Source organism: Homo sapiens, chromosome 4 (genome assembly GCF_000001405.40).
Source record: "Homo sapiens chromosome 4, GRCh38.p14 Primary Assembly".
NCBI lineage: Eukaryota > Metazoa > Chordata > Mammalia > Primates > Hominidae > Homo > Homo sapiens.
In genome coordinates this window covers 68,833,164-68,856,713 of record NC_000004.12, presented here as the reverse complement: position 1 = coordinate 68,856,713, position 23,550 = coordinate 68,833,164, and positions in this window count along the sequence as shown.

The window sequence follows — 23,550 nt, the reverse complement described above, 5'->3', positions numbered from 1 at the left end:
TTGGTTTCAACTTCCAGTCACCAGCTTCATTAGCATCTAATGAAAGAGTCATCCTATCCTTTGGAACTTTGAAGCAAGGCATTGACTTCCCTGTAGCTTTGAAAGTCTTAGATGGTATCTTCTTTCGATAGGAGACTGTTTTGTCCACATGGAAAAGCTATTGTTTAATGTAGCCACCTTCATTAATTATGTTAGCTACATCTTCTGGATAACTTACACAGGCTTCTTTTATCTTGCATTTTATTTTATGGATATGGCTTCTTTCCTTAAACCTTATAAACCAACTTCTGCTAGATTCAAACTTTTTTTCTGAAAATTTTTTACACTTTTCAGAATTGTACAGAGTTAGAGCCTTGCTCTAGTTTAGAATATGGCAGAAGAAAATATCTTCACTGGTTTTATCTTTAATCCAGAAGATTAAAACTTTCTTCATATAAGCAATAAGGCTGTTACACATTCTTATCCTTTGTGTATATTGTTGTAGCACTTTTAATGTCCTTCATTAACAGTTTGTTTGTATTCAAAATTTGGCTAAATGTTTGGCACAAGTATGGGCTTTGCCCTATCTCAGCTTTAAACATACCTTCATCATTAAGCTCAATCATTTCTAGTTTGATTTTAAGTGAGAGACATGAGACCCTTCCTTTCCTTTGAACTCTTAGAAGCCATTTGTAGGGTTATTAATTTGCTTAACGTCAGTATTGTTGTGTCTCAGGAAACAGGGAAGCCTGAGGAGACAGAGATAAATGGGAAACAGCTGGTTGGTGGAACAGTCAGAATACACACAACACTTATCAGTTCTGTTTACCATATTATATGCATGCATTTTGTGATGTCCCTCAAAAAATTACAATGGCAATATCAAGAAGCAACGGCCACAGGACACCAAAACTGATATAATAAAAACAAAAATGCTTGAAACTTTGTGAGATTTACCAAAATATGCCACAGTGACACATTGTTAGCATGTGTTAGCTATTGGAAAGATAGCATTGGTAGACTTGCTTAATGTAGGGTTGCCACAAGGGTTCAGCTTGTAAAAAAAAAAGTCCATATTTGTGAAGCACAATAAAACAAAGCAAAATGACAGAAGGAATACGTGTGTGTGTGTGTGCGTGGTGTGTGTGTGTGTATATATAAATATGAGAGTTAACAAAAGATAACTCAGAGCTGACTTGATAAATACACTGATTAAAAAAACAAACTTCATCTGAATTAAATTTAAAAGAGTTTAAACTCTTGAGCAATGGACAACTCACAAATTGTGCAGCCTCCTGAGTCAGAGTAGGCTCTGAGACTCCAGTGCAGTCACGTGGTGAAATAAGATTTATGGAAAGAAAAGGAAAGTGACATACAAAAAGTGGAAGTGAGGTAAAGGAACAACTGAATTGGTTAAAGCTCAGTGCTTACCTTATTTAAACAAAGCTCAAATAACTGGCTACATTTATTTGGCCAAAACGTGGCGACTGGCCCAAGTGTAGGCTATGGTCTGTTTACACCTCCACTTGCCAAAGTTCATGATGTACAGAGAAACTTTTAGGCCAAACTTAAAACATGTAGGAGGTAGCTTTAGGCTGAACTTGATTTAACACTACACAAGTACACTGAGAATATATCATAAACCTTTGTTTTTAAATTAAGTCTATTGTCTTATCAAATTTTAATATCCCAATAGAGCATCATGATTGTGAAAATGATAAAATTTAAGTACCTTGTTAGTATTAAAAATTGCTTTAATATAAAAAATTTAATTGTCCATGTATTGTTCTAAAAATATAAAGCACAATGCAAAGCAATACTTATTCAAGTAAATTTCCTAAGACTTGATAAAAACAGGGATCGCCTCTTACCTTGCAAACAAAAACTGCCCCCTCATCCCCTCCGAACTCAGCGTGTCAGAATTTTACTACAGGTAGATGCAGACAAGAACAACTATAGAATAAACCGGAGAGGAAATAGAAAACCTGAATAGACCCATAAAAAACGGAAAGACTGAATTACTAATCAAAAGACAACCCACCAAAAAAAAAGCCCAGGCCAAGAAGGCTTTGTTTTAGAATTCTACAAATCATTCAAGGAAGAAAACATAACAATTCTTCAAAAAACAATCCTCCTAATAATAGAAGAGGAGAAAACACTACCAACATATTTCATTGACCCCTTCTACTAAAACCACAAAAAACACATCACAAAAAATGAAAACTACAGATCAACAGCTCTTGTAATTATAGACACAAAATTCCACAATAATATCTTAGCAAACTGAATATAAGAACATACAAAAGTTATTATATACCACAAATAAGTGAAATTAATCTCAGCAATGCAAAGTTACTTTAACATTTAAATTATTGATAGCACCTGTTGGGAAACTCCTCTGCCCTCACAGGCTCAGAAGTGCCTGATCTTACTGCCTGGCTTCTTCCTGATGTCAGTGCCCACTTGATCTCATAGCAAAGTTGGGACTGAGCCTAGGCACCATGAGTGACAGCAGGAGGCAGACTGATTCCTGGGCAAAAGGGGGTGGGTCCCCAGTGATCCCCATCTTCAGGACCGGGGAAAGCCTGAAGGCTGGGGACTAGGTTGCCTGTCTGTCCCATGGACCGAAGTGGGAACTTGTGGTGCCTCTTCTGGGCCCACCCATGGCTGCTCACAGACCAATTAACTTGCACTTTCTCCCTAGTGAGGCCCATTAAAACTATGGGTTCAGCCATAGCTGAGCAGATGACAATATGACCAGCTGCAGAGAGGAACTACCTTCTCAGTGGAGAGCTTCTGAGACCTGCAGAGACATCGGGACAACAAGCTGCAGAGAGGAGCAACCCACTCTAAGGCCTCTTTTCAGCTAGGAGCTGAGCAGACATCAGGACAACCAGCTGCAGAGAGGAAAGTCGGAGAATTCCTCGAGCCCAGGAGTTCGAGACCAGTCTGGGCAACATACAGAGACCCTGTGTCTACAAAAAGTAATAATAATAATAATAAATAGAAGTGTGCAGAGGTGCATGCCTGTAGTCTTAGCTATTCTTGAGGCTGAGGCAGGAGGATTGATGGAGCCCAGGAGTTTAAGGTTACAGTGAGCTGTGATCACACTTCCACACTCCAACCTGAAAGGCAGAGTGAGACTATTTCAAATAAAAACAAAAAGGAAGAAGAAGAAGAAAGAGAGGAAAACTCAAGCAAGGAGAGAAGTTCAGATGCTCCAACCCCTAAAATATAATAATAACTAACTTTCTAATATGTACAACACAACTATGATCTTTGAATACTTATGAAATACTCTTTATTTTTTTATTCTACGTAGCTTTTTATAATTACCTATACTATTTTTGGCTGCAAACCTGAAGTTATTTTTAACACTCACATAAAAACTAAATTTTAAAAATTTGTAAATTATGCACTAGTTTATGATGATTTCCTGGTAATTCCAAAATCAGTACCTCATTATGGTACTAGGCATGTACCAAATGGCTTAGCTATAGACAACCATATTAAACACTGCTGTCAATGCTTTGGAGTATGTCATCGAAGATTTAACAGTCTTTGAATAAAATTTAGCATCATTGCATTTTAGAATTTTTTTCAACAGCACTATTATTTATAAGATGCCAATCATTCTTTCTCATATCTAAAAATGTCCATGCTAACAAATGTAATAATATTATGGATATACATGAAAAATGCCACTTGAAATTTTTTATCTTTATATGTAATTCCTAAGCAGAATTAATTTATTTCTCATACAGAGAGGATTACATAGATTTGCTTTGTTTGTAAATCAAAAGATGTCAGACTGTAACTATGGAACAAGTGGATATAAGTAAACTGTCTCCCATTTCATTGTTTTAAAAATAAAAAAGCTTAATAATAAATTTGGAAGAAGAGAGTGAGTATAGTACAAACATTAATTTAAAAAGTGTGGACCATTATTAATTTGTTACTCTTCTTCACACCAGAATTATGACTGTCTAACAATTAAATACTTGAATTTTTCATTTATTATCTCAATTGTTTAAGTCACTATGTATGAAATATTATGATTGCATTTAAACTGATCTAATGTAAAAATAAGTCCAGGAAATATAGTTGTTCTGCTTACTTCAGTCTTCTAGTAGTTCTCATTAATTAACCTGTCCTATTCTGTTTTCTTTGTCTGCTATATAGAAGGCATTTAGTAGGGTTCTCAGTCTTTTTAGAATTCTAACAAATATGGTTTAATTTGAATTTGACTCAGAACAAAGTATTTTCTTTATATAAATGATCACATGGAAATTTGATGACAGGAAATCAGATACCTTAGTATCAATACTTCGCTGTATAGTGGGTAGTCCAGAATGGCCTTGGTGAGACTCTGAAGAACAAAGATTGAAAACATGGCTAACAGCCAATCATGATGAAAATACTTCAACAGAAAAAAAACAGATTCACCATTTATTATTTAAAAACTCAAAAATAAAATCTAGCATGTTTATATTTATGTTCCAGTCCTGGGGGAAAAATACAATTAATTACAACAGTTACCATTTTTTTTATACACAGTTACGTTCTTTATGGCTAGAACAAATTATCTTTATTTCTATTTCAACTGTAGTTACCTCTTAAACAATAAAAGTTCAATAATTTTCTAGGTTGTCTGTCTCCTAATTCAATCATTACAAACACCCTTTCTCCTTATGTAGGGATATTTCAGTTGCAACTGAAAAATAACAGCCTGTCTTTTATTTCCAGTGACAGCATTTTATATGGGAAAAAATCCCCAGTCTTTATCATGAAGTGGTAACACACTTCATACTGGAGTGTCGCCTATACTTCACTTTGGTGGTTTTAGTGGAAATGTTTATCAGAGGTTCTAGGCTAGTGCATAAGTTTTAAAATAGTCAAAAATGAAATAGGAATTGCTGAAGATGGTAACAACACATTATAAAGAAGACTGAGAACAAAGTTGAAGCAGGGAAACATAAATATTATTAGAGTACTGTCTAGTTTTCACCATGTTTATGCCAGTCTTTCAGCATGAGAGCTCATCAAATGTTATTTTTCTGGATAAATTTTATTTGGTATATATAATGTATACGAGATGCTATCATCAGATGCAAATATGTAGTGAAAAGGTTGCTATAATGAAGCAGGTAAGCATGTGTCAATCATCTCACATTAGTTACTCAATTTTTTTATTGTTTTTAAAACTCTTCCAAAATGCTTTATTTTCAGTAAATTGGCATGACATAATCAATCACTAGTTCCTCTTCTATTTAATTATAAGGAAATAATTATGATGTTAATATTTTTAATCCCATCACTGATGAATTGTAAACCACTACGCCTTTCAAATTTACCTGTTTAAAACAATTGAAAAAAATAAGATACTAGTATAAAAGTGACCATATTCTTTGTTATTGTGGTTGTGGTTGCTTTTGTCTCATTTGAAATAATTATAAAATAACGGGCTTGAAAGAGATAAATTGGAATATTTCTGTTTAACAGCCAAAATGTCTGAAACCAGAAATTTGTTGTTTTTAAATTATTTCAGTACACACAATAATTTTAGTTATGCTATTTTATTAATAGTTACATTAACAAAAATTAAATAATTTTAATATTTACTATTATGTTTTTAATATTAATTTTAATAAACTCATTCTGGTGTTGAAAAATAAAGATAATTTTTGAATAGTTAACACATATTGAATGTATATGAAATGACATGCATTGTATTGGTTCTTTGTATTATGTAACTTCTTGATTATAGTTTTTTACAATTGTATTAAAAACATAAATCAGGATTAATGTCACCCTCTGAAAAACACAGTCTTCCCACTGTGATCTTTAAATAACAAGAACAGAAGTTACCTCCATTGCTATTGCTACAGTGCTATGCATTAACACTTCATAATTTTAACTTGGTAAGCATATACTTATATCCATCCTTATTATTTGTCTATTAGTCCATAATTATTTTAACACTAAATGCCTCAAAGCATTCAATGCAATGTCTCAAAGTAAAATATTGAACTCTTCTTAAATTCTAAAATCAAAATACAACAAGAAAAAACGGTGATAGTAGCAAACATTTACTAAGAATCTCTTTATGATGAGAATAATTTCAGCAAGTATTCTAAGAACCATTGCATGGCTACTCACAATAACCAGATAAGAAAGATATATGATTTTTATTCATTCAATTTAACAGTAAAATCTAGGAAGAGATGTGCTTTTTTTACTCATAGTCAGCATATATATATATAATTGACTACAGTATATTTTTCAGTATTTCGTTATAAAATTTGCATACAACGAAATGCATGTATCTTCACTATACATTTTTTGAGTTTCAACAAATGCTTACACCTCTATAAACCCAAACCCATAAGACATTATTATGACCACACAAATGTCCCTTCATGCCTCTTTGCAGTCCAACTCAGCCCTTGCTTCCCAGAGGAGATTGTTTTAGAATATCTTATATATGAAATTATGCATTCAGTATGTACTCTTTTGTGGCTAGTTTCCACTCAGCCTAACATGTTTTGGATTCATCTGTATTGTTGCGTGTCACAGATGTATATGAGTATACTGCATATTCTGCACCTCGTTTGTTTATTCATTCTCCAATTGGTGGATACTTGGATTGTTTCTACAGTGTCTTGTGAGTGGGAGTTTTCACTGTTGTCATTTGTTTATGAAGTCTAATTTATTATTTTATTATTTTTTCTTTTATGCTTTTTCTGTAATCTGTCTAAGAAAGCTTTGCCTGCTGCCAAGTAATCAAGGGAGATGGCTCCTATTTTTCTCTAAAAGCTTTATGTTTGGGTTTGGTAATCCTTTTCTTTTGTTTTGAGACAGGGTCTCTCTCTCTGTTGCACAGGCTGAAATGCAGTGGTGACATTGAAGCTTACTGTAACCTCTGACTCCTAGGCTCTAGGGATCCTCCCACCTCAGCCTGCTGAGTAGCTAGGACTACAGGAACACCACAACACTAGGCTAATTTTTTAAGAAGTTTTTTGTAGAGACAATTTATTCTTTATTTTTAAAATTTTTTTTATTATACTTTAAGTTCTGGGATACATGTGCAGAATGTGCAGGTTGGTTACATAGGTATACATGTGCCGTGGTGGTTTGCTGCACCCATCAACCTGTCATCTACATTAGGTATTTCTCCTAATGCTATTTCTCCCCTACCCTTCTACCCCCTGACAGGCCCCAGTGTGTGATGTTCCCCTCCCTGTGTCCATGTGTACTCAATGTTCAACTCCCACTTATGAGTGAGAGCATGCGGTGTTTTATTTTCTGTTCTTGTGTTAGTTTGCTGAGAATGATGGTTTCCAGCTTCATCCATGTCCCTGCAAATGACATGAGCTCAGCCTTTTTTATGGCTGCATAGTATTCCATGGTGTATATGTGCCACTTTATTCAACCTATCATTGATGGAAATTTGGGTTGGTTCCAAGTCTTTGCTATTGTGAACAGTGCCACAATAAATGTACGTGTGCATGTATCTTCATAGTAGAATGATTTATAAGCTTTTGGGTATATACTCAGTAATGGGATCACTGGGTCGAATGATATTTCTTGTTCTAGATCCTTGAGGAATCACCACACTGTCTTCCACAATGGTAGAACAAATTTACACTCCCACCAACAGTGTAAAAGCATTCCTATTTCTCCACATCCTCTCCAGCATCTGTTATTTCCTGACTTTTTAGTGGTCACCATTCTAACTGGCATGAGATGGTATCCCACTGTGGTTTTGATCTGCATTTCTCTAATGACCAGTGATGTTGATCTTTTTTTCATATATTTGTTGGCTGCATAAACATCTTCTTTTGAGAAGTGTCTTTTCATATCCTTTTAATAAGACAGGTAGATGTCAGCTCAGGATTCAAACTGAGGCCATGTGCTTTCATACTTTTGACCACTAACCCACTGTTATAATGACAATACTAACTCCTGGTCAATGCCAACTTCTTATGAGCTTTGCCTTGACCTGAACCTTGTCATGGATTTGTCTCCTATCTCTAGTCCTTAAATTGCAATTTTCTGATAAATAAAAATTTACTTTTCCTGTTCTTTGCCCACATTTTAATAAAGTTGTTTTTTTTTAATTTGTTTATATTCATTATAGATGCTGGACATTAGAACTTTGTCAGAGGTATAGTTTGTGAACATTTGGTACCATTCTGTAGGTTTTATATTCAGAGTGTTCATAGTTTCTTTTGCTGTGCAGATGCTCTTTATTTTTACCAGATCCCATTTGTCATCATTTGTTTCTGTTGCAATTGCTTTTGGCATCTGCTTCATAAAAGCTTTGCCCATTTCTATGCATAGGATGGTATTTCCTAGCCAACAAGCATATGAAAAATGCTCAACATCACTAATTATTAGCAAGGACATGGAATCAACCTAAATGCTTATCAGTGGTAGACTGGGTAAAGAAAATGTGGTACACATTCAACATGGAATACTATGAAGCCACAAGAAAAGCAAGACTATGTCTTTTGCAGGAGGAATATGATGGAAGATGGAGCACATTATCCTTTGCAAATTAATGAACTAATGCAGGAAAAGAAAACCAAATACTGCATGTCCTCACTTGTAAGTTGGAGCTAAATGATTAGGACATATGAACACATAGAGGAAAACAACAGACACTAGAGACTTTCAGATGGTGGAAGGTTGGAGGAGGTAGAGGAGCAGAAAAAATAACTATTGGGTACTAAACTTAATACTTGGGTGACAAAATAATCTGTACAACAAACCACCATGACACAAGTTTACCTACATAACAAACCTTCACATGTACCCCAAACATAAAATAAAAATTAAAAGAAAGAATATTACTTTTTACTTTTTGATTGATTGTTTTAATATATGCGGAAAGTAGAGAGACTTTACAAGACATTCTGAAATAGACCATTCTCAAATGGTAGCATAAAAAGTTCCATGGAGGAAATTTCAAGGGAAACAGGAATAACTGGTGAAAATTGTTTTTTAAAACAACCATTTGGTGTCCCTGGCAATAATCCTAAAGACATATAATAAAGTAACATTCACTGAAGAAAATCCAGTAATTTGTAGTGAAAACAGCAAGTGTCTTTGGCATTTAAGCCACAACATGCTCATTTGCCCCCCCTCCTAGTTCAGTGACAGAAACTCCCTCTCTTCCAGGGAGGTGCTGATGCTACCACAGGGCTCTCACTCTTCAAAGCTCCCAGTTGAGTGTCAGGGTATGCAGTTGAGAAAAGGTGTCTCTCTGATTTTTTTATATATATAGACTCAGGCATATGCTCCAGAAGCTTAATTCTAGGCAAGTGTGGCTAAGAAGGGTCTCACATCTTTCATTCAGCCACAGTCATAACTCAGAGATTCAACTCAAGAACGGCACAAAGAATACTGAGTACCAAATAGCCATTGCCCCAGTCCACTCATAGGATGGAATTTCCGTGATGGGAGAGAAAAACTAAGAATAAAGGCCAGCAAAGGTGGCAGCCTGCCACTCCCACTGAGAGCTCCTTCTTATGGAGGTGCAATGCCGCTATTGGTGGCTTGCTGGAATTTTAAGCCAGTGGGTGCTCACCTGTGAGGTGCTGTGAAAGTGGGGCCTGCAGGCTGTATCTTCTCAGTCCCTTGGATTCAGCCTTTTTCCTAGGGATATGTATGTGGTTCTAATCTCCTAATTTGCCAAAGCTGCAGTTACTTTTGCCAGAAAGCCCACATAGCTAAGGTTCCAGGGTCACCTCGCATGCCTGAGTAGATGCTCTGCTGAGACTCCACCTTTTTCTGGCTGTCAGAATGAAGGCCCTGTTGATGTGAGTTCACAGGTAGACTTCTTGACTTGAGGGTTGCAAAGATTCTTGGGAGAAGTATGGTTTCCTGTGGTTGCACAATTACTCAATGCTTCCCTGGGAGGGTGGGGTTCCCCTAGCTGCTTGTTGCTCCCAGGTGGACCATTATCCTGTCCTGTTTTTCTTTAATCTCTGTGGGTCAAGTTATTTTCTTGATTATTCTCAATGCAAGTCCCTGGATGTTTCACTTGAAAGTGTTGTATTTACTTGCTCTTTTCATTACTCTCCATGAGAGCCATGCACACTAGTACCTTCTAGTCAGGCACCCTGAACATGTTTTCCAACTTTCATTCTTAATTCCTTTCTTCCATCCTCAGCATCATATCTTTCTTGGATGTCAAATTTTTAATTTTTTCGATCATGTTATTTTTCAGAAAAATAGAAATAATTATATTTTGGAACATAGAAAGTTCACTGATATAATTTGGCTCTGTCCCCATCCAAATCTCATCTTGAATTGTAGTTCCCATAATTTTCATATGTCCTGGGAGAAATCCAGTGGGAGGTAATTAAATCATAGGGGCGGTTACCCTCATGCTGTTCTTGTGATAGTGAGTGAATTCTCATAAGATGTGATGGTTTTATAAGGGGCTTTCCCTGCTATTGCTGATTCTTCTCTTTCCTCCATCCATGTGAAGAAGGATGTGTTTTCCTCCCCTTCAGTCATGATTGTAAGTTTCGTGAAGCCTCACCAGCCCTGCAGAACTGTGAGTTAATTAAACCTCTTTCCTCTATAAATTACCCAGTCTCAGGCAGTTATTAATAGCAGTGTCAGAAGAAACTAATACAGTAAATTGGTACCACTGAGAGTGGGGTGTTGCTGTAAAGATACCTGAAAATGTGGAAGTGTCTTTGGAAGTGGGTAATAGACAGAGGTTGGAACAGTTTGGAGTGCTCAGGAGAAGACAGGAAATTGTGAGAAAGTTTGGAACTTCCTAGAGACTTGGAGAGCTCAGAAGACAGAAAGATATGTACAAGTTTGGAACTTTCTAGAGACTTGTAAAACAGCTTTGACTAGGCCGGTCATGGTGGCTCATGCCTGTAACCCCAGCACTTTGGGAGGCAGAGGAGGGCAGATCATGAGGTCAGGAGATCGAGACCATCCTGGCTAATGCGGTGAAACCCCGTCTCAGCTTCCTTGGAACATACATTTCAGTGGGGACACGGTCAAACCATATCTTTCTGCCTCTGGGAACTCCCAAATTTTATGTGCTCACATTTCAAAACACAATCATGACTTCTCAACAGTCCCCCAAAGTCATAACTCATTCTAGTATTAACCCAAAAGTCCAAGTCCAAAGTCTCATCTGAGACACAGCAAGTATCTTCCACCTATGAGTCTGTAAAATCAAAAGCAAGCTAGTTACTTCCTAGATACAATGGAGGTATAGGCATTGGATAAATACACCCATCCTAAATTAGAGAAATTGGACCAAATAAAGGGGCTACAGTCCCCATTAAAGTTCAAAATCCTATAGGGCAGTCCTTAAAATGTAAAGTTCCAAAATGATATCCTTTGACTCCATGTCTCACATCCAGGTTAAGTTGATGCAAGAGGTGGGCTCCTATGGCCTTGAGCAGCTTTGTCCCTGTGGCTTTCCAGGGTACAGCCCCTATCCAACTGCCTTCTCTGGCTGCTGTTGAGTGCCTGTCTTTTTCAGGTACATGATGCAAGCTATCATTGGATCTATGATTCTGGAGTCTAGAGGATGGTGGCCATCTTTTTACAGCTCCACTCAGCAGTACCCCAGTGGGGACTCTGACACCACATTTCCCTTTTGCACTGCCCTAGTAGAATTCTCCATGAGGGCTCCACCCCTGCAGCAAACTTTTGCCTGGACATCCAGGCATTTCCATACATTCTCTGAAATCTAGGCAAAGATTCCCAAACCTCAAGTTTTGACTTCTATGCACCTGCAGGCTCAGCACCACATGGAAGCTGCCAAAGCTCGAGGCTTGCACACTCTGAAGCCATGGCCTGAGCTTTAATTTAGTCTCTTTTAGCTATGGCTGGAACAGCTGAATTACAGGGCACCAAGTTGCTAGGCTGCACACAGCAGGGTGTCTCTTGGCCCAGCCCAGAAAATCATTTTTCCCTCCTGGGCCTCTGAGCCTGTGATGGGAGAGGCTACCATGAAGGGCTCTGACATACACTGGAGACATTTTCCCCATTGTCTTGTTGATTAACATTCAGCTCTTCATTATTTATGCAAATTTCTGCAGCAGGGTTGAAGTTCTCCCAAGAAAATGGAGTTTTCTTTTCTATTGCATCACTAGGCTGCAAATTTTCTAAAATTTTATGCTCTGCTTCCTCTTGAATGCTTTGCTGCTTAGGCATTTCTTCTACCAGATAGCTTAAATAATCTCTCTCATGTGGAGCTACCCTCTCCAGGGCCTCCCCTCTGCTGAGAGCTGAAAACTGATGGGACTACCTGCCTACAGAGAGGAGCTAACCACTGCATACCTCCTCTGAGCTGTTCTAACGCTCCATAAAGCTCCTCTTTGTCTTGCTCACCCCTCACTTTTCTGTGTACCTCATTATTCCTGGCTGCATGACAAGAACTTGGGCAAAGGTGCCACTGGCCACAGATGTTTCTGAGCAGAAAAGCAACACCCCAAAGATCCTGTAACACTTTCAATTAATGTATTACACAATATAATTATAATGAAGAATGAGAAATTCATTATCATTTCCATGAATGCACAAAAAAATTAATGAAATCCAGTATCTTTCATCATAACAATATTCAATAAAGTAGGAATAGAGGGAAACTTCCTCAAACTGTTCCCTGACAGAACAAGGTCCACCTGCTTGTTCTCATGGTCCAGTAACAAGAAGCAGACAAAGTCAGAAAGAGGGGAGTTTATTTATGCAATTGGTTACAGGGAGAAGGTTGCAGTAACTCACCAGATCAATTCAAAGTTACAAGTGTTTTTCTAGTGCTTAGATACACTTTAAGCTGCATGCCTATGTGTGGGAGTGCACCTACAAGAAGGAGTGATTTATTCAATCTCCATCTAATCTTATGAGGTGTATGTGTAAAAATGCTATTATTATTCTATCAGACTGTAGGGGCTGTGAAAACCAAGGTGGGGTCTGAATGGGTTTGTTTTCTCATCCTAGTCCTTGTACTCAGGTAAAACTTTGTCTAGTTCTTTAATGCTTAACTTATGGATTCATTAAAATTATAGTTAAGGATTAGTGAAAACTGACTGCTCTAATTGTTGAGGGAAACCTAGCCTGACACAAACCTGATAAGTGACATCTATAAGAAAACACATAGCTAGCATTATACTTAATGTAGAAAGGCTAAATCCACTCTCTCTACTCCTAATCAACATCCCACTAGAGGTTCTAGTTAAGACAAATAGACAAGAATATGAAATAAAGTAATCTATATAGGGAAGAAAAAATTTAAACTATTGGCATATGACATGCTTTTATATTGAGAAAACATTTAGAAATCTACTAGAAAAACTTTAGACTTGAGAGATGAAGACAGCTGGACTTCTGGGTAGATTGGGAACTTGGATAACTTTTCTGTCTTACAAGAGGATTGTAAAACGCACCAATCAGCACTCTGTAGCTAGGATTCTAAAACACACCAATCAGCTCTCTGTAGCTAGCAAGCCGATTGTAAAATACACCAATCAGTGCTCTGTAAAAACACACCAATTAGTGCTCTGTAGCCAGCAAGAGGATTGTAAAATGCACCAATTAGTGCTCTGTAAAATGCACCAATCAGCAGTCTGTAAAATGAACAAACCAGTGCTCTGTAAAACGCACCAATCAACAGGATTCTAAAAGTAGCCAATCGCAGGGAGGACTGAAAAAAGAGCACTCTGATAGGACAGACATGGAACATAGGAGAGGCCAATAAGAGAATAAAACCTGGCCACCCCAGCCAGCAGTAGCAACATGCTTGGGTCCCCTTCCACGCTGTGGAAGCTTTGTTGTTTTGCTCTTCACAATAAATCTTGCTGCTGCTCACTCTTTGGGTCCGTGCCACCTTTAAGAGCTGTAACACTCCCTGTGAAGGTCCACAGCTTCATGCTTGAAGTCATTGAAACCACGAACCCACCAGCAGGAAGAAACTCCAGAAACATCTTGGGGGCTCATCCAGGATGTTGCCACACACTGAGTGCCATCAGACCCCTTTTGCTTGGTATTCTGTCCTATTTTTCCTTAGAGTTTGGGGGCTAGTCACCGGGCACCTGTCGGCCAGTTAAAAGTGACTAGCTCAGCCACCAGACTAAAGGCATGAGTGTCAGGCTTTCTGGGAAAGAGCTCTCTAACAACCCCCAACTCTTTAGAGGCAGGAGTGTTGGTTTGCTGGGAACCAGCTTCTGCTTTTCCTGTACTTCTGGGCTGAGCTGAGAGTCAACGGACAGGAAAGCCATTCAGCTCCAGGGTCCTGAAAAAAGTTGGTTGACCCTGCAGCTATAAGCGTAACTCTCAAAGTTATGTCTCCCAAGCAAGACTCGCCCATCTATCCTATCTATCCTGACCCTTGCCTCCTGGGTCCTAATGCCTGTCAAACAAACTTCTTCTTGCCTCTTTTCTCCGAGGCTAGTCCCACTTCTAAACACCAAATCTAGCTTTGTTACCTATGCAACAAAGCTGCACATCCTGCATATGTTCCCCAGAACTTAAACTTTGGAAAAAAAGAAAAAAAGAACAGGAAAAGAAAATTTAGGTTCCCTAGAAGACACTACCTCCAAAAAGCCTTCATGTCAATTTCCTTGGCCAAGGATGCTCTAGGATACCTCCATCTTACCTCTTAGGCAACAGGAGAAGAACTTAAGGAACAGCCAGATCACTTTCCTCCCAGCTTAATACATTACTGACTAAATTAAAGTCATACTTTATTTTAAATTAAGAGGATTGGTCACGTGTGTGGCTCATGCCTGTACTCCCAGCACTTTGAGAATCCCAGACTGGTGGATAGCTTGAGCTCAGGAGTTCCAGACCAATCTGTGGAGCACTGGACAACTCTGTCTCTACAAAAAATATAATAAAATAAAAACAAATGCAGACCGAGCACACTGGCTCACACCTGTAACCCTAGTTTTAAAAAAAAATGAAGGAATGAGGTGCATGTGTCATTGTTAAAATGTCTATGTCTCTTTTTATCTGTTTTTGCTTTATGTATGTGAGGTTTTGATGATGGGTGCATATGTATTTATAATTTTTATATATTCATAATGAGTTGACACTTTCATAATAAAAAATGTTCCTCTTTAATAACATTGAACAAGAACCTTTAATGTCTGAAATTACTATAGCCACTCATTTATTTTTGTTACTATTTGCATTGTATATACTTTTACATCATTTTATTTCCAACTGCTTACATCTGTAAGTTTATACAGTGTCTCTCTAGGTAGCATATACTTGGAATTTTTTAAAATATTGTCTGTAATATTCAACTTCTAATAGGATTTTTTAATTAATTTATATTTAGTATTGCTCATACAGCTGGATTTATGTGTTGTTTGTCTTTTTTAATACATTATATTTTTATGTTCTTCTTTTACATTAATTTATGTTTTAAATGTAACATTTCCATCTCTTTAATAATTTTTATATTTTTTCCGTTATTTACTTTGTGAGTAATTGAGGACTTGCCATATATACACATTAAATTATTAGAATAAACTTTAAACTCATACTACCTTACTTCCTATATAAAAATATTACCTAGACATAACTCCATTCCCTCTTGTAATTTGTGCGACTATTGTTATATTACATTTACATGTGTTACAAACCTCACACTACATTATTATCACTTTATATAATTTTATGTCTTTTCAGAAGCAAAAAATAATTAGAAAGCAGATATTTGTTTATATCATTGGTCACAATTTCTTTTTACTTACCATTTCTGATTCTCTCTTTTTTTTGTATTCAGGTTACCATTTGTTTTTATTTTTACCCCAATACAGTTTTCACAAAACTATGGGTTGGTTTGGATTCAGAAAGACTCTTTTTATCTGTCTGTCTCTCTCTAGTTTTGTATAATCAGCTAATTTGCATCTTTCATAAAGCTATGTTCTTCTTTATATTAATAACTGCCTACCAACAAAACTTTCCATATTTTGAAAGTACTCTTAGGCTTGAACTTCTACATATTGATTCAAGTAAAGTAAATTACTCTTGCAAGTGCTTTACAACACTCTTTTGAATGGTCTGACTCCTTCCTTGGGCAAAATCTCCCATTGGTGTTAGAACTGGAGGGCAGGGACAATGGAACACTTCTCTCTGAGTGACATCTGTGCTCAAACAGAAAAATAATAGCCCTTACGTTTAGTTTGCATCTCCATCATGGAACCACCATCCTATAAATAAGTTTTGGCTATAATTATTTGGTACTCAGATTCTCAGTATGCCATTCCTAAGTAAAACTTTTGCTTATGACTGTGGTTGGATAGAAGAAGAGATAACCCGTTTGACTTAACTAGCCTAGAATTTACCCTCTATAACACATCGATTGGGTGTGAGTGGAAGAGTTTAGGATGATTTCCTCTCTACAGAAGATACATCTCCCTCTTGTTGGAGTTTTGTAGATTTGAAGCCCTATCATCTTTGTCTGCACCTATCTGGAATGGAGATTTAGTCACACTGAATTAGGAGGGTGAGTGAGGAAAAATAAGGTTATTGTTTAAATGCCACAGGCTCTTACTATTTTACCAAGATTTGGCAGAAGTTTTTGAATTTTTTTTCCACATATGATGAGGATAATTCCTAGTATTTTCAAATAGTTTTATTTTGACAATAATTTTTTACTAGTTATTCTTATACTGGGGAGCTGGTTCATGGGTTCATAGCATTTCTCACACTATCAATCAGGAAGGGGCTACATCAATGTTTTCTCCTAACACTTTTTGTTCCTTCTTGTGATAAATTTGCTTAACATAGTTACTAACTCAGCATCCAATTTTAGGCCTGACGTAAGTTGTTTAACACCTAGTGATAGCAGTTTTTCTTTTCTTTCTCATGTGTTGTTTGTGATATAGTTCATTTGTTTCTTGTTCCACTGACCCCAAAACCAAGCACACTTTATAACTGATGATCATGATATAACCTATTGTCAACATGAGAGTTGTATAATTAGCCTCCTCCCTTTACATATTTTTTAAGTTTATAATTACATGTTCTTTAAATTAGCCATTCTAAAACTCCCTCATAAAATCTAAGGGTTAACACTCACAGAACTTAATAAAGGAATGGCTTCATAGGCCTTCTGACTCTTATTTTCACACCGCTTGTTGAATTTCCTCCTTCCTATGAATGCCTTGTTAGTTTTCTGTCATCAACCCAACCCCCCTGGACCTGGAACAAATTTCTTTTATTTGATGCATTTTGGTTTTACTTCCTCAATGTGTCTTACCTAACACATAAACCTGAACCCACTTCTCCTCTCTTCTGGTCAGCACTCTCCTAAGGAGTGGCTATCTCGGCTATGGCCAGTCTCAAGAAAGATACTTCAATACCAAATGAGAAAGAAACTACAACAGTATATATCACAACACTTCTGTGTATATTTGAGAAAATATTAATTATGTAATTAAAGTAGAATTTCTATAAATCAGATAATTGTTAATTATGAACAAATACCATATATGAAATAAAGAAGCAACACTCTTGGTTGATGTTAGAAACTTCTTTATATTTTATTTCATTCTATTTTATTTTATATGCTTTGCATTACCTAATGGGCTATAGAATGATGAAAATACATAATGTCAAGCTGCAGAAGCTGGAGAATGGGGAATGTGACATGACTGTCTAATGGATTTAGAGTTTCCTTTTGTAATAAAGAAAATGCTCTAGATGTAGATACTGGTGATAGTGGCACAGCATTGCATATGTATTAAATGCCAACAAATTGCAAAAATTAAGTGGTTAACATGGTGATTTTTATGTTTATAATTTCTACCTTAATTGAAAAAGAAAGATGGTCAGATTTGACCAGATTTGGCCCAGAGGCCATTGTTTGCCAGCACTTGGTTGATATGATAAATTTAATTTCCACATATTTGAAATAGTAAATGCTGTTTTTAAAAATTTATATTAGAAACGTGTCATGTTTAAAAATAAATTCATACAATTATTTGAACAATAACATTATTGTGGAAATTTTTCTCTGTCTAATAATTATGATAATTAGTTTACATTATATTTTGCTATATATGTCACTGTATTTGGTGCTTTGCCATATTAATGAATTTATTCTCTTAACAACTTCATGAGGTTGATAATGTCATCATAATCCTTATCATTTCATTGATGAGGGAGCTGAGGCATTGAAAGGTTAATTAATGTGCCCAATCCCACATCATTTTGTAGTGGGATTTGGCAGTGACTTGAATCAAGCCATCTTTGGGTCCAAAGTGGAAACTCTTAACCACCATGTTATGCTGACTCTTCTATCTGGGTTACAGTTAGTTTTAAAATATAACATCTACATTTTCCCATTTATGTAGCTATATATTAAAAGTAATTTATTACAAATGTAAAATATATAGAAATATTGGTACCACCGAATAACAAATTGCCCTTAAATTTAAGCCATAAAACTACAATATTTAATTATCTCTTACAGTTTAGGCGTTGGCTTGGAACAATTATGTGTTTTTTCCACATAGTTTCTAAAACTATCAGGATTTCTTAGTCTATGTGATATATATGTATATCATTTATTTTGTTTTTCCACAAAATGTTATTTATCATAGGGACTTCAGATATGGCACCAAGCTTTACATTTAGTTGAGGAGGTATGGGTAGTAGCAAGATAGAAAGAGACGGAGATGGAGAAATAGAAAAGAGACAGAGACAAGACAAAGAGACAAAGAAGGAATGTATGCTTTTCTAAGAGAGCCTTGAAAGTTAAGCTATATCACTTCTACTGCATTCTCTTTGTTGAAACAGCCACAAGGTTTGCCAAAGTTCAAAGAAAAACAATATGACTTGACAGAAGTATTGTCAAAGTATTTGAATTATATCTCAAAATCACCATATATAAAACCTGTTGAAGTACGCAGCAGCAGTCACTAAGTTACTGTAATATTTATTGTATATTGACATAGAAATCAGAAAAATTACTAAAATTTTGTGAATTTAGATTTCTATAACTGCTAATATTTTTTAAAACTTTTAAATATATTTATTTATAGATGTTTAAATATAAAATAGATGTTCACAAATGGGCCCCACATAGAGGAAATAAATACTATCCCAGAAATATCTTGAAGATATTGACTTATAGCCATTTAAGTGCTGGAGGAAACATCCTGTTCATACATGTGCTTACGTGCAAGGATTTCTGCATGACAGATTTCTAGATGTAGAACTTCAGTTTCAAATGATATATTTAAATTTATTTGAAAAGATTAATTTACATTATACTTCTTCAAGAATAGATTTCTCAGGTTTTTATAGGTTGCAAATATTTTGTAGGATAATGATTTATTGACCTCATTTTTGTTTTCTTAAACATCAATAACTTTTGTCATTTTTTATAATTATTATCCATTTTTCATTGAATTTCCTGTTTACACACACCATCAAATTTCATATTGGACTATATCCCTCATACTTCACTTAAAGTTTGTCAGAAATTTCCAGTATTTTTACCAAAAAAAATCGTTATTAAAAGCTGGTGATTAAGAATCACTGACATTCAGGTGTTTGGTATTGTAGTTGGAATTTCTGTGAAATGGGCCAGAGACTCCCATTTGTAATACAGAATTATACAGTAAATGGTTACATAGCTGAATGATCATATTTCTCAGGTCAAGGTTTAGGTAGGACACATTTTGCCCTGAAATCACACAGCTAAATTGATGTGCTATTTGTAACTGGGTGTGAGGAATTCTCATCATCCCTTTACTATGTCTCACAGGGAGTGCTTGCACCTTAGTGGGAGAGGCTTCCAGGCCTTTCTCCAGAGGAGTTATGGTAACTGTCTTGAGTAGCTTTCTCACATTATATTCAACTCTTGGTGAAGATGTGCTTGCCTGGAATTGATTGACAATTATTCTGACTTGTGGTTCCCAGTCTATGCCAATTTTTAAATTTAAATATTTTCAAATGTAATGATTGGGGTAAAACTTTTTCTTAAGTGTTCCTTACAAATGAAGAAAGAAAATATTGACTGTGCAGACCACAAATTGCTGAGTATTTTTTAAAATATGATTTTTAATCTTAAGACCTCAATGTCAACACGAGAGTCATTGTAGTACTATTCCAGGTAATACATGGTATATTCAGGTATTGCATGTGATTGCAGTAACTTGTAGCCACATTTAATGTAACTTGTATTCAGTGTTTTGTCTCACTGGCCTGATGCCCAGAGCCTTCTTCATCTACCCAGTGTTAAAATAATATATCCTCTGTTTACAGATTCATCACTGATGTGGGCTATTTTTTTCCCATTCTGTGAAAACTTTACAAAAGTAATACAAGATCAATGCAAGAGCCGAGCACGGTGGCTAACACCTATAATCCTTGCACTTTGGGAGGCCGAGGTGGGTGGATCACCTGAGGTCAGGATTTCAAGACCAGCCTAGCCAATATGGTGAAAACCCATCTCTACTAACAATACAAAAAAAAAAAAAAATAGCCACGTGTGGTGGTGAGTTCCTGTAATCCCAGATACTCGGGAGGCTAAGACAGGAGAATCTGTTGAACGTGGGAGGTGGAAGTTGCAGTGAGCCAAGATCGTGCACGGCACTCCCACATGGGTGACAGAGCAAGACCCCATTTCAAAAAAAAAAGATCAATGCAAGAAATTTTATAAACATATGAAAAGTTTTAAAAAGAAAATAAAATGCTCCTATAATTTCTGTCCCAGAGGCATTACCAATGTAAAAATGGTATATGTTCATTATGGTTTTTATTTTATTTATATAATATAATGTACATATGTGACATTTATTAAGAAAATTTTAATATTATTGCATGTACCTTTTCATCTTAAAATAAGTTGACATTTTGCTATATTTGTCATTTAGATCCTCAGTTTCCAGCTAAACTTGTATTATGGGTGCCAGTGTAATTAAATAACAATATTTGTTTGATAAAATGATTGTGATGGTATGACATACACAGAGTATAAGTATTCCTTAATTTAAGATGTTTGGATTACTTCCAATGTTTATATTATGAATATCCTCCATAAATATTGAATATATACATCTTGATTTATTGTTTTCTCTGCATGCTTTTATATAACATATTATGACTCCAATGCATTTTTAAAACACTTGGTACTTTTTGCCAAATATCTTATTCTTTTAAAATATACAGAAATTTTAAAAGAAACTCATATTCAATTGAAAAGCAAGCAATTAGGGGTAAAGTAACAATTGATTTATGTAATAAAGAATTAGAGAACAGGTTTCACAACTATTGACTTGGATTCAAATCTTCTTTCTGCAAGCTAATAACAGCTATTATCAGTAATTATCATGAGTGTACTACTAGTCATTCTTTTTCTTGTTCTCCTTCTCCACCTACTATCTTTGCCTTCCTAATGGCACTATCATTTTCCTTAATGAGAATGGGAAAACCTTTCAAGAATAGGGTTAGATAGGGGCCAGGCATCGTGGCTCATGCCTGTAATTTCAGCACTTTGGGAGGCCAAGGCGGGAGGATCACTTGAGGTTATGAGTTCAACACCAGCCTGGCCAACATGGCGAAACTCCATCTCTACTAAAAATACAAAAAGTAGCTGGGTGTGGTGGCCCACTCCTGTAATCTCAGCTTCTTTGGAACATAGAATATGTGTGTGTGTGTGTGTGTGTGTGTGTGTGTGTGTGTGTGTGTTACGTAGTTTTGCTTTTCTTGACCAGATATGCATATCATTATGCATAGAATATATGTCCACTTGAAATTCCCTCTTCCCATTTCAGTAACCGCAGGTAAAAGGAAATTCTCTCACAGTGGTATCATTTTGGTGTGTGGAAGGGGGGTGGTACAGTCCAAAATAATTATTCATCTTACCAATCATAAGTTTTTCATGTCCGTGAGTCTTGGGGTTTTCTCCTTCTCTCTTGAGATCTGGTGAATTCAGAGTGACATTTGTGTATTTGGATAGCTACTAGTTGTACTTTTGTGGGGGAATTGATGTGGGGTTTTTAAAATTTTATTATTTTGTTGACATCACAAAATGCCAGCAAATTGACACTTGATATTGTTGAAATAGTTTTATGAGTTTGCAAACCATTATGTTTTTAGAATTTGATGTCTATTAAATATTAAATGAGCTGCACATTTCTCACTTAAATGTTCTTTATAATTATTTGGTTGTGTGCTTTTTCTAGTAAATAATTATTATGTACTGAAGCCATATGTTTCTAACACAAACTTGAACATTTCTATTCTAAAATGCACCTCAGAAAATAGGGATGATATAACTATATATATGTCAACTTCAAAATTTTATTTTAGAAGTATACATAAACTATATTATTCTATGTGGCATTGCATCTTTATAATGAAGAAAGTTTTTCCTCTGTAGGAAATGGAAGAATTTGTCCAGAGCTCTGATGAGGATGGTGTTGTTGTGTTTTCTCTGGAGTCAGTTGTGCAAAACCTTACAGAAGAAAAGGTTGATCTTATCACTTCAGGCCTGGCTCAGATTCCACAAAAAGTCAGTAGAACCTCCAATCCTTATAAGAAGCTATTCACACAATGGAGAAAGTATGGCTTTCCATTTGGAATTTGAATCTCATTTTTCAATTTGCATAACAGGCATTAGATTTACATAACAATTTGGAAAGCATTATGGTTGTGTATGTGGACACAACTTATTATTTGCCTAGTGATCTTTTCTATTGCTTTAGTAACATATCCCTTGCTTGTCATTTGTTAATAATAAAATAAAAATAGTGCATTAAGTCCCTATTCCACATTGCAGGATTTGAAATCTTGAGACATATTCTGATGACTCCAAAGGAAACATTTTAAATACGTTAGCTCAAATGAACATAAAAATTGGGGAATGATATAAGAAAGAGAAGATTCATGCTCAATAGTATTCTCCACGTATTTGATTGTATAGGAACTCTATTCAGTGTATTTGAACATAAAAGTAGAAGCATAGATTTATGTAGTCTTTCTAATAAACTAGAGTTTTCCTATAGTTAAAAGGTAATTATGATTTTAATATTATAGTCTAACAACCTGCATGTAATTCTTTATGATATTCAATTAATTTTGTTATTACTGTAATTCTAGTTTTCCTCTCTTTAGTTAGTGCTATATATACACTAGCCTAGAGGTTTTTTTTTTTTTAATTTTATGTTTAGTTAAATTTCAAAACACTCAATGAAAGCAAGTATGCTAATTAGAAATGTGAAATTGGCTTAGTCATGAGATTCTCTTTTTGGGAGTTCAGAATATCCATGTAATCCTTTGTTTTCAAGCATATGTTTATCATATACGTTTCCAGAAAGAAAAAAGTGTGGAACTAAGGTACAAATACAAACAAAATTTAACCTTCAACAATGAAATATAGGTAATTCCTGTCTCTTTGTTTTTTAATTAAAAATAAATGAAATAAAGGAGATAAGGAAGCATGAAGAGAAAAGACAACCAACTATCCAAAACCAGACAAAAGCCAAAGCAATGTTTGTCTCTGGGAAACTATAAATTTGATAATAGAGCTAGAATGGCCAAGTGATTTACATTTACACAGAAGTT